At 37.8% G+C, this 12,038-nt stretch overlaps 1 long non-coding RNA gene across 9 annotated transcripts in view; it reads left to right on the forward strand.

The window, feature by feature from the left end:
- Positions 1-12,038, forward strand: part of CCDST (cervical cancer associated DHX9 suppressive transcript) — a 177,390-nt gene that overhangs the window by 8,799 nt on the left and 156,553 nt on the right. For 3 of the 9 annotated variants that reach the window (NR_186769.1, NR_186768.1, NR_186766.1), the window contains exons 2-3: positions 7,759-7,954; positions 8,758-8,956. The exons of 5 other annotated variants lie outside the window; for them this stretch is intronic. This is a non-coding gene — a long non-coding RNA (cervical cancer associated DHX9 suppressive transcript). Of the gene's footprint in view, positions 1-5,274; positions 5,467-7,758; positions 7,955-8,757; positions 8,957-12,038 lie in introns of those variants that run through there. One more of the 9 variants, NR_186767.1, reaches the window with a different exon arrangement.

Raw genomic sequence — 12,038 nt, forward strand, 5'->3', positions numbered from 1 at the left:
CAGTTCCAAGTACAGGTTACACATTCTCCCTCTGTTGTGTTGTGGCTAGAGGTGCGTTGAACATGATTTTGTTGCTCACCACTGTGGCTTCTTTCAATAAACACTCCTTCATTGATGCACATACATTCCACCCTCTTTCCATCCTTACTTTTTCCTTGACTGATCTCCTTCCCCTATAACCACATAATCTTCAGTGAAGACTTTGGCAACTGTCTATTTCTTTCCACCCTAGCTATTATAATCATTCTGGAAAACTTCAACAGTCATGTTGGTGATGCATCTGGATCCATCATTTCTTACACTCTATTGATCTCTACCTCCACTCTACCTCAGCCAGCTATTCAAATGACCACCCCCTGGACCTTGTCATCAACCATAACTGCTCCACCTCTGAAGCTGTGAACCCTGAAATGTCACTCATTGATCACACAGAATGGCCTTTTAGCTCTCCTACTCTTAAGTTCCCACTAAGCCTGTTCTTAAAAAATAGTCTTTTTATTTTTATCTTGAGTAATTGCATGGCTACCATCTAGAGCTGACAGTAGTAAACTTTTTGTTGTATTTGCTTCAGGTCTTATTAAAATGAATAAAACATTGCAGGTAAATTTAAGTCTCCTGTGTTTCTCACCCCCAAGTTCTAATCTTTTTTTTTTCTTATCAGAAGTACCACCAAAATTAATTTGGTAAATATGTGTGATGTATGTGTATAAATATATGTGTATATATATGTATAAAATATGTAACTACATTTTAAAATTTATGTAATGTAGTGTACATATTAATAGTTTGCAACTTGATTTTCACTCAAAGTTATTATGTTTTTAAAATCTATGTGTATATATAATAGTTATTTTCTTCTAGGTGCACTGTAGCTTTCCAATATAAGAATATAGTATACTTTATCCATTTTCCAAATTCACTATTACAAACAATGCTGTATTAAACACCCTTGTAAATGTCTTCCCAAACAAAATAGGTCAGTGTAGTGCCATGGCTAAGGTAGCACCACAGCTAGACTATATGGCACCTTTGTGTGAATAAGAAAGACTTCCTCTTTTTATGGACCTAGTCCTCTGAGCTCACAGCTTGGCAAATAGAAAGTGCCTGGGGCAAAGATAAAAGTACTGAGGTGGATGTAGCTTTTAACTAGGTATGCATGGATTATTAACTGGGACATGGATTGGATTTCTGTGCCAACTTGCTTCCTCTTGGCACCACTGGGACAGTGAATGAATTGCATAGCCACATGTGGTGCCCTGGGTTAAGAACAAAAACTTTAGAGTCTCATTGCTTGGTTTCAGTAGCAGCTATGTGACCATAGCAAATTACTTAACCTCTGTGCCTCATCAGTAAAATGGTGATCTGGAATGGTCTATCTCCTAGGGTAATTGAGAGAGTTATACATAGTAGTGCTTAGTGCATAGTATGTTTTATATAACTATTAGATATTATTATCACAAATATAGATAAACCTTGGAGATATTGCAGGTTCAGTTCCAGACTACTGCATTAGAGAGAATATTGCAATAAAGTGAGTTACATGAATTGTTTGGTTTCCCAGTGTGTATAAATGTGTGTTTACACTGTAGAGTAGTCTCTATTGAGTGCTCAATAGCATTATGTCTAAAAAAGTATACATTCCTTCATTGAAAATACTTCAATGCTAAAAAATGCTAATGAACCTTCAGCAAGTTGTAATCTTTTTTCTGGTGAAGGGTCTTGCCTTGATGTTGATGGCTGCTGGCTGATGAGGGTGGTGGTTGCTGAAGGTTAGGGTGGCTGTGGCAATTTCTTAAAGGAAGACAACAGTGAAGGTTCCTGTGTTGACTGACTCTTCCTTTCACGAGAGATTTCTCTCTAACATGCAGTGCTGTTTGATACAGTTTTACCCACAGTATAATTTCTTTCAAAATTGGTCAATCCTCTCAAACCCTGCCACTGCTTTATCAACTAAGTTTATGGAATATCATAACAGTGTTCATAGCATCTTCACCAGGTGTAGATTCCATCTCAAGAAATCACTTTCTTTGCTCATTCATAACCAACTTCTCATCTGTTTAAGTTTTATCATGAGATTGTAGCAATTAAGTCTTTAGGCTCTACTTTTTAAAAAAAAATTTTTAATCAATTTGTTTTTATTGTTTTTTATTTGACTTTTAAGTTCTGGGGTATGTGTCCATGATGTGCAGTTTGTTACCTAGGTAAATATGTCAGGCTTTACTTCTAATTCTAGTTCTCTTGCTATTTCCACCACATCTGCAGTTACTTCTTCCACTGAAGTCTTGAATCTCTCAAAGTAATCTATTAGGGTTAGAATCAGCTTCTTTCAGACCCCTGTTAATATTGATATTTTGACTTCTCTGTGAATCGTGGATGTTCTTAATGACTTCTAGAATGGATAATCCTTTCCAGAAGATTTTCAATTTTCCTTACTCAGATCCATCAGAGGAATCACTATTTATGGCAGCTGTAATCTTCCAAAATGTATTTCTTAAATAAGAAGACTTGAAAATTGAAATCACTCCTTGATCCATGGGCTGCAGAATGGATGTTGTGTTAGCAGGCACAGGAAAAACATCGTTGTACATTTTTATCCGAGCTGTTGGATGACCAGGTGCATTGTCAATGAGCAGTAATATTTTGAAAGGAATCTCTTTTTTCTGAGTAGTAGGTCTCAACAGGGGGCTTAAATAGTTAGTAAACCATGCTGTAAACAGATGTGCCATCATCCAGGCTTTGCTGTTCCATTTATACAGCACAGAGTAGATTTAGCATGATTCTTAAGGGCCCTAGGATTTTCAGAATGGTAAATGAGCATCGGCTTCAACTTAAAGTCACCAACTGCATTAGTCCCTTACAAGAGAGTCAGCCTGTCCTTTGAAGCTTTGAAGCCAGAGAATTGACATCTCTGTAGCTATAAAAGTCTTAGGTGACATCTTCCTCTGATAGAATGCTGTGTTATCTACATTGAAAATCTGTTGTTTAGTGTAGCCACCTTCATCAATTATCTTAGCTAGATCTACTGGATAACTTGCTGCAGCTTCTCCATCAGCATGTGCTGCTTCACCCTGCACTTTTATATTCTGGAGATGGCTTATTTCCTTAAACCTCATGAACCAACCTCCGCTAGCTTCAAACGTTTCTTCTGTAACTTCCTTACCTCTCTCAGCTTTCATAGAATTGAAGAGAGTTAGGGCCTTACTCTAGATTAGGCTTTGGTTTAAGATAATGGTGTGGCAGGTTTGATCTATCTAGATCACTAAAACTTTCTCCAAGTCAGTGGTAAAGCTGTTTTGCTTTCTTATCATTCATGTGTTCACAGGAGTAGCACTTTTAATTTTCTTTAAGAATTTTTCATTTGCATTCACAAACTTGGCTAACTGGCACAAAAGGCCTAGCTTTTGGCCTCTCTCTGCTTTTGACATGCTTTTCTCACTAAGTTTAATCTTATTTATTTATTTATTTATTTATTTTTGAGATGGAGTCTCGCTCTGTCGCCCAGGCTGGAGTGCAGTGGCATGATCTCGGCTCACTGCAACCTCTGCCTCCCAGGTTCAATCAATTCTCCTGTGTCAGCCTCCCGAGTAGCTGGGACTACAGGTGCCTGCCACCACGCCTGGTAAATTTTTGTATTTTTAGTAGAGACAGGGTTTCACCATATTGATTAGGCTGGTCTTGAACTCCTGACCTCAGGTGATCTGCCTGCCTTGGCCTCCCAAAGTGCTGGGATTACAGGTGTGAGCCACCGTGCCCAGCTCTTATTTTTTATTTAAAGTGAGAGACATGTGGCTGTGCCTGGTGGCTCATGCCTGTAATCCCAGCACTTTGGGAGGTCGAGATAGGTGGATCACTTGAGGCCAGGAGTTCGAGACTAGCCTAGGTAACATAATGATATCCCATTTCTACAAAAAATTTAAAAATTAGAAGGGCATGGTTGTCTGTACCTGTAATCCCAGTACTTGGGAGGCTGAGGCATAAGAATCGCTTGAACCCGGGAGGCAGAGGTTGCAGTGAGCCGAGATCTTGCCACTGCACTCTATCGTGGGCAATAGAGTGATACTCTGTCTCAAATAAATAAATAAATAAATAAATAAATAAATAAATAAATAAAATAAAGTGAGAGACATGTGACTCTTCCATTCACTGAAACACTTAGAAGCCATTGTCTGGTTACTAACTGGCGTAATTTCAATATTGTATCTTAGGGAATAGATAGGCCTGACTAGAGGGAGAAAGAAAGGGGAGCAGCTGATCACTGGAGCAGTAAGAACACTCATTTATCGATTAAACTCTCTGTTTCATATAGGAAAGGTTTGTGGTGCCCTCAACAATTACAAGTGTAACAGCAAAGATCACTTATTACAGATCACCATAGCAGATATAATAATAGTGAAAAAGTTTGAAATATTGTGAGAATTACCACAATGTGACACAGAAACATGAAGGGAGCACATGCTGTTGGAAAAATGGTGCCGATGGACTTGCCAGACAGGGTTGCCTCAAACCTTCAATTTGTACAACACACAGTCTGTGAAGCACAATAAAGTGGAGCACAATAAAATGAAGTATGTCTGCATGCAAACTCCTCTGAGGTATACGAGTAGGAGTAGAACTGCTGGTAGACAGGGTATGCACATTTCAAAGAAATCTGTTCCTTATCCTGTCTCTATTTTTTCAGTCTGCCAGTCCCCTTCCTGCCTTCTTTCATATCTATCTAGGATTCCATCATCACACTTTTGAAGTTGTGGGCCTCAATCATGTTATAATGCATTGTGATTGTTGTCAGCAATTGGTAAGCATCTCAAAAAAGAACAAACCAAGTCACCCAGATCACTCCCCAAAGTGGGCAGAAGAGAAAAGGATTGGGTTAAAGGTTGCAATAACAGTGACCCCCTCCTGCCAGGCATGATGAATCTTCCTATCTAGACAAACTTGCTTTAATCTCCTTTTGTTTCCCACTCTACTTCCTTTGAGAGATGTCAGAGATAATGATGGTGAGTGGGCTAAATTCACTTTCTTCCTCTCACTTCCTTCTCCACTTGGCTCTTAGCTTCACCTCCACTACTCCCCATGCACACATGCCTTCAGATATAATATTTACAGCTACTTATTGCCTTTTATTTGCTGTGCTCTCACTGCTAATTATCCTACATTATGTTTCATTCTCTTTGGTTTTGTTGCCAAGAAATATCCCTATATCCTTACTCCCTGCCATCCCTTGCTCTTAGAAATCTGGTTTTCCTTTAATGATGCTGTTTTCCTTTTTCTGTGAAGTGGAGCCTGGCTGTTCTGGTGAAGTCACTGTGGGCTAGTAGATTGAGAATGAGTTCATAGTCACACTTGAGTTCAAATCTGAACTACATCATAGGTGAGCTGTGTGTCCTTGGATTTATAACCTCAATTTGCATACTGAGGAGAAGTTTAAGGATCTCTGCATCAAAGAGTTATTGTGAAGGCAAAAAAGGGGTAAGTAATGAGACATTGGTACATAGCTCCTAGTATATTCCATATTGTTAGTTTTATTTTACCTGAAAAGTTGCTACTGCTAACAAGGCCCATCTTTCCTACAATAATGGAGTCGAGAGTGTAAGGTCTTGCCTAGGGGAAATTTGGCTATAAAATTATCCGTCCCTTCACACACATATAGTTTGGGCCAAGGAGGGGGCCTGTAAGGGAGCAATTCCCAACCTTTTTGGCAGCAGGGACTGGTTTCATGGAAGTCAACTATTCCATGGATGGGAGAACAGTGGGGGTGGGATGGTTTAGGGATGAAACTGTTCCATCTTGGATTATCAGGCATTAGATTCTCATAAGGCACATGCAACCTAGATCCCTCCTGGTGTAGTTCACAATAGGGTTCGTGTTCCTATGAGAATCTAATGCAGCTGCTGATCTGACAGGAGGCGAAGTTCAGGCAGTAATGCACGGTGGGCTGCCACTCACCTACTGCTGTGTGGCCTGGTTACTAACAGGCCACAGACTAGTACTAGTCTGTAGCCCAGGGGTTGGGGACCCCTGCTGTAAGGGTTTCTGGTTTTTCCTCCCATACCTATAACCTTCTCTACAGACCATTATGTGTCCTTGGACCCTTCATTTTTCCTTGTACCTGCCCTGCCAGTCTCAAACCTGGGATTAACCTAATTCCATTTTTTTTTTTTTTTGGCTTCTTCTGCCAGGCTGTTAAGATGGCAAATATCACATACATGGTGCCTTAGCTTATTTCTACACATTTATTATATTAACCTTGCCCACACTCTGAATATTGCCTGGCAATCCCTTTCATCATACCTAGGTGGTTTCTTTTACCAGACCCCTCAGCTGGAATTTTCAGACCTTTCCCTTTTCAGATCTTTCTAAGCCTCCTGCTTCACTCCCTCCCCATCTTCCTTTTAGTAGATCACTTTACTTCCTTCTTTGTTAAGATTGGGAAGTGATTCAAAAAGAATGAGGAGTCAGGCTACCAAGATTACAGTTAGTCTATTCATGTGGATGAAAAAATTTCCTCCATATCATTATCATACTTGTAGGTGTCAGTGTTGCAAAAGTCAGGGATGAAGTTGTTTACATTAGAGAGTTAGCAATTTATAGGAAAGGGCTCAAGGCTTCATTGATTTGGAAGACTAGGTAGAATCTTCTTCCTCATTTTTAGCTTATCTCAGGGTTGTAAAGATTTTTGTTTTTCCTCTCCAATGGTGCGACTTTATATGCTTAGTCATAATGGTGGTTGGGCAAGGAGTCAGTTTTGTTGTCTCCATAGGGGCCAACGGATGTGAATTCTCCTAACTTTGTTTCTAAAAGGAATCAACTAGGTCATGGACCACTAACATACAGATTCCTGGGTCCCATCTACTAGAAATTTGGATTTAGTTGATCTGGGATAGAGGCCATCAGTTTGCTTTTTAAATAATTACCATAGGTGATTCTGATGCAGCTCATCCTAGGAACCTCTTTTAAAAACATGGAGGTAATTGTATTTTTGCTGAATTTTAATCTCCTTTTTGTTTCAAGAGTATATGAGGTATTCTTTTCCTTTCCAAGACTGATTTCTCTATGTGTATATTTGATTCAATTTCTGTCATTCCTTCTAGGTCCTTGATCCAACAACGATTCCTTTCTCTGTATCAACAGATTCTTACTTTCTATAAATCACCTTCCACTTGACTTAGAACTGTTATTCACATTCAGTAAATTTTTATTGCATGCTGCCTGTGTTTCCAGCATATATTTTAATTTCTTCCTTTATAAAGGATTTTTCTTTCTTCCTTGCCTACTCTCTTATTTCCTCTTTACTACAAACTTTTTAAAGAATCTTTTCACACTGATATTTAATAAGAATTATAACAACAAGTAGTAATAAAGATAGCCACTAATATTTATTAGATGATTACTGTGGACCAGACACTTTTCTAAGTACACTATATATATTAACTATGTAGCAGACAGTTCACAAATTAATTAAAAATATATATATTAGGATCTGTTTCTGGGCTATTTATTGTTATATTGATCTGTATTATCTACTCTTCTGCCAATATGCTATCTGGCAGAAGAGTATTTATAATAACTTTATAAAATGCATTTTATCTTCCATTACTTAGTGAAATTCCCTCTCTTTGGGTTCTAGAACACCATTTTCTCTGCCTCTCCTCCAACTTTGATTCATCTTTATCAGTGTCCTTCACTGACCTTTCTTCTCCGCCTCCTTCATGTGATTCTATTTAAAGCCCTTTACAGCCTGCCTCCAACTTGCTTTTCCAGCTGCAGTTCCTGATACTGGTTTTTCTACATGCTTCAGCCAAAGACATATACTCTTTGATCCCTGAGAACACTATTTCCTCAGTGTCTTTGCACATGGAGTTCACTTCTCTGCTTGTGAAGTCTATGAATATTGCATGGCTGATTTGTCACAATTTTAAGTCTTCAACATCTGGAGTGTTCTGGCAAGAATTTGTAGGTAAGGACAAACCAAGGTGGGTGGTGATGCTCAGGAGCCCTTTGTTTCTAGGGTAGAGCACACAGAGTCAGGGAGTCTGAGAGAACAGGAGGGGTAGAGGAAGAGGGCTGAGACAGGCTATTGAAGGAATTGGGTATCAGATACTTATCTTTCAAAAGATACCAGACTGTGTGTGATTGTTTATTATTAGTCCCTGGTGACCTACAAAGTAAGGCATGCATTAAGGAGGTCAAGTCAGAAAATGCCACCCTCTGGAATTGAAACTAATGAGAACTGTTAAATGTGATGAAATAAATAAAATGTGAAGAGATGAGTTATCTGCAGCAGGAGTCCACCCTTGGAAATTAAGTGCTGCTAATGAGCAGGGTGTTCCTCAAGTCTCTCTCAAGACATTAAGTTTGGTTGCATTGAAGCAGGAAAGGGGGAGTCTGAGGATGAGTACTAGTTGGTGTGTCTCCAGCAGTGTCCAGAAGAGTGGATTGCACCAGTCCTAGTTGTTTGACTGTAGTTGTTTAGAGAAAAATATTACTGAAGCACAAGACAGTGTTATGTTAGCAAACACATATGTTTTGGAGTTAGACAGATTTAGGTATAAAACCTGACTTTACTAATATAATATACTTGACCTTTTAAAGTCTCAGTTTGCTCTTCAGTAAAATAACATTTATAACCACAGGGTTGCTATGAGAATGAAATTAAACAATAAATAAATATATGTCAAGTATATAGCACATAATGTAATGTTCCCAGTTCATAAGATGTTCAATAACAATGCTGCTTTTGTATTTTTCTATCCCTTTTAGGAAAAATTTTTGAATCATCAGATTACCATAGCACAACCTTGGAGAATAAAACTCTTTTGCTCTGAAGCTCATCTAATAACCTGATATCTCTCAAATGAATCTATCCAATGACAGGGAATACCCCATGTTAAACAGCTGATTCTTGTTCTGAATACGTTTATTATCTTGTAGTTAGTAAATAAATCAATTGGACCCTTAAGACTTTGCTTAGAGTGAATCTGTCTCCCAGAGCTTGATCACATTTGAATGTACAGACAAAAACTAACAAAAGTGAGATCCATCTGGGGATGAGGTATTGGGATTCTGTAAGATCCTGCCTGAAACAGCCCACCTCTTTCTCTTTTCTTATTTTAGCTGTAACATTATGGTTCTTAAGTTTCTAGAGTCATAACAAGGAAAAGAGAAACATTGTGAAAAACTTGGCTTAACTATATAACTAAGCATTTATTGGGAATTTGTTTGCTTTCTCTTATTAGAAAAATTTTCTTGCCCCTTACCCCTTGGAAGGCAAAGAATAAGGTTGGGGTGTTGCCCAGAAAAAGGGTCAGGGTTTGGTTCTCATTCTTATATACCCAGAAATGCACTCATATCAGTGCCCCAGAGTTGATCAGACTCAGGAAAACTGTTTCATTGTAACTGAACTCATCAGGGACTGAAGTATAAAAACCAGAGTGCCATTTTATTAATTTACAGTCAGAAATGCATTATCAGAAACACTGGGTATTTATATTAATCTTGCTGATGAATGCTTTCTCCTTTTGGGAAAATTATGGAAAGCCAAATTTTCTTTTTTTAAAAAATTTTATTATTATTATACTTTAAGTTTTAGGGTCCATGTGCACAACGTGCAGGTTTGTTACATATGTATACATGTGCCATGTTACTGTGCTGCATCCATTAACTCGTCATTTAGCATTAGGTATATCTCCTAATGCTATCCCTCCCCTCTACCCCCACCCCACAGCAGTCCCCAGTGTGTGATGTTCCCCTTCCTGTGTCCAAGTGTTCTCATTGTTCAATTCCCACCTATGAGTGAGAATATGCGGTGTTTGGTTTTTTGTCCTTGCAATAGTTTGCTGAGAATGATGGTTTCCAGCTTCATCCATGTCCCTACAAAGGACATGAACTCATCATTTTTTATGGCTGCATAGTATTCCATGGTGTATATGTGCCACATTTTCTTAATCCAGTCTATCATTGATGGACATTTGGGTTGGTTCCAAGTCTTTGCTATTGTAAATAGTGCCGCAGTAAACATAATGTGTATGTGTGTCTTTATAGCAGCATGATTTATAATCCTTTGGGTATATACCCAGTAATGGGATGGCTGGGTCAAATGGTATTTCTAGTTCTAGATCCCTGAGGAATCGCCACACTGACTTCCACAATGGTTGAACTAGTTTACAGTTCCACCAGCAGTGTAAAAGTGTTCCTATTTCTCCACATCCTCTCCAGCACCTGTTGTTTCCTGACTTTTTAATGATTGCCATTCTAACTGGTGTGAGATGGTATCTCATTGTGGTTTTGATTTGCATTTCTCTGATGGCCACTGATGATGAGCATTTTTTCATGTGTTTTTTGGCTGCATAAATGTCTTCTTTTGAGAAGTGTCTGTTCATATCCTTCACCCACTTTTTGATGGGGTTGTTTTTTTTTTTCTTGTAAATTTGTTTGAGTTCATTGTAGATTCTGGATATTAGCCCTTTGTCAGATGAGTAGGTTGCAAAAATTTTCTCCCATTCTGTAGGTTGCCTATTCACTCTGATGGTAGTTTCTTTTGCTGTGCAGAAGCTCTTTAGTTTAATTAGATCCCATTTGTCAATTTTGAGAAAGCCAAATTTTCTAGAAGGCCCCTTGGTGTGTTTGAAGTCTGTGGCAGAGGGTGTGTTGTGTGGTTCAGCTGATGAATATCATTAGGCACTCATGTGGTGAGACATTTATTTAAAAGACTAGGACATGCTGGACCAGATACACCAGTGGACTAGCTTGTCAGAACACTCTCCCTTGAGCAGTCCTTGATGGGCATTCTAACATTGTTCTTTGTGTTCTCCTTTTTCTTACAAAATAATTTAAGATTTACAAGTAAGTGTAGATTTACAAGTCAGTGAATGATATAATGAATACCATCTTCTTAAGAAAACTTTTGGTATTGTTTACTCGATCTCAGTTCCATTTTCTTCCATCCTTCCAGAGGTACACACTGTCTTGAATTTGCTGTTTATCATTCCCATAAAGATTTTTACATTTACCAAATATGTATTAACCACAAACAATATATGGTATTGTTATGTATATTGTAAACCTATATAAATGGTATCACACCATGTATACTTGTTTTGCAACCTTTTCACTTGGCATTACACTTTTGGAATTTGTCCATGTTGATATATACGTACCTGTAGCTCATGAATTTTAACTGCTATATAGCATTTTAGTGTGTGGGTATATTACAATTTATCCATTCTTCTATTGAACTTTTAGGTTGTTTGTAACATTTTGCTGTTACAGACTTGTCTGTGGTTGCCAGATTTCCTCTTAATTAGGTATCAGTTCAGACTCCTGCTGCTCAGTATCCTCCCGACACTGGATATTGCCAGACTTTAGTTTTTTTCTGATCCGATGGGTATGAAATGAATTTCATTGTGTTTTAATTATCTATTTCCCTGAGCATTGTTTTAAAAATGTCACTTTGCCATTCAGATTACCTTTGGTGAATTTTCTTTTTATAAGTTTTGCTGTTTCTTTTTAATTTTTAATTTTTATAAATTTTGGTGAATTTTCTAAGTTTTGCTGTTTTTTAAATTTTTAATTTTTATAAGTTATTTACATAATCCGGCTATTGATCATCTGTTGTTTATAGGCATTTCAAAAATGTTCTTGGACTCTGTGGTTTGTCCTTTTTACTTTTTGAGATTGTCTTTGGATTTACAGACATTTGTAATTTAATTATAGTAAAAGTCATGAGTCTTTCCTTGGTGGTTTGTATATTTCTTGTTTAAAGAATCTGCACTTATTTCAAAGTCATAAAGATATTCTCCTATATTTTCTTTAAAAATTTTTAAAAGTTTGGCTTATCACAGTTAGGTTTTTATTTACTTGGAAGTGATTTTTGTAAATGGTGTGAAATAGAGATAATTTTTTTCCTATGGAAAATTTATTACCTTGGCACCATTTATTGAAAGAGTTGCCTCTCTCCACTGATAAGCAAAACCACTGCTCTTGTATATCAAGTATGCATGGATCTGTTTCTGGAGTCACATTGCTCTGTATATCTGTTCCTA

The sequence above is a fragment of the Homo sapiens genome, chromosome 1 (assembly GCF_000001405.40).
Source record: "Homo sapiens chromosome 1, GRCh38.p14 Primary Assembly".
Classification (NCBI taxonomy): domain Eukaryota; kingdom Metazoa; phylum Chordata; class Mammalia; order Primates; family Hominidae; genus Homo; species Homo sapiens.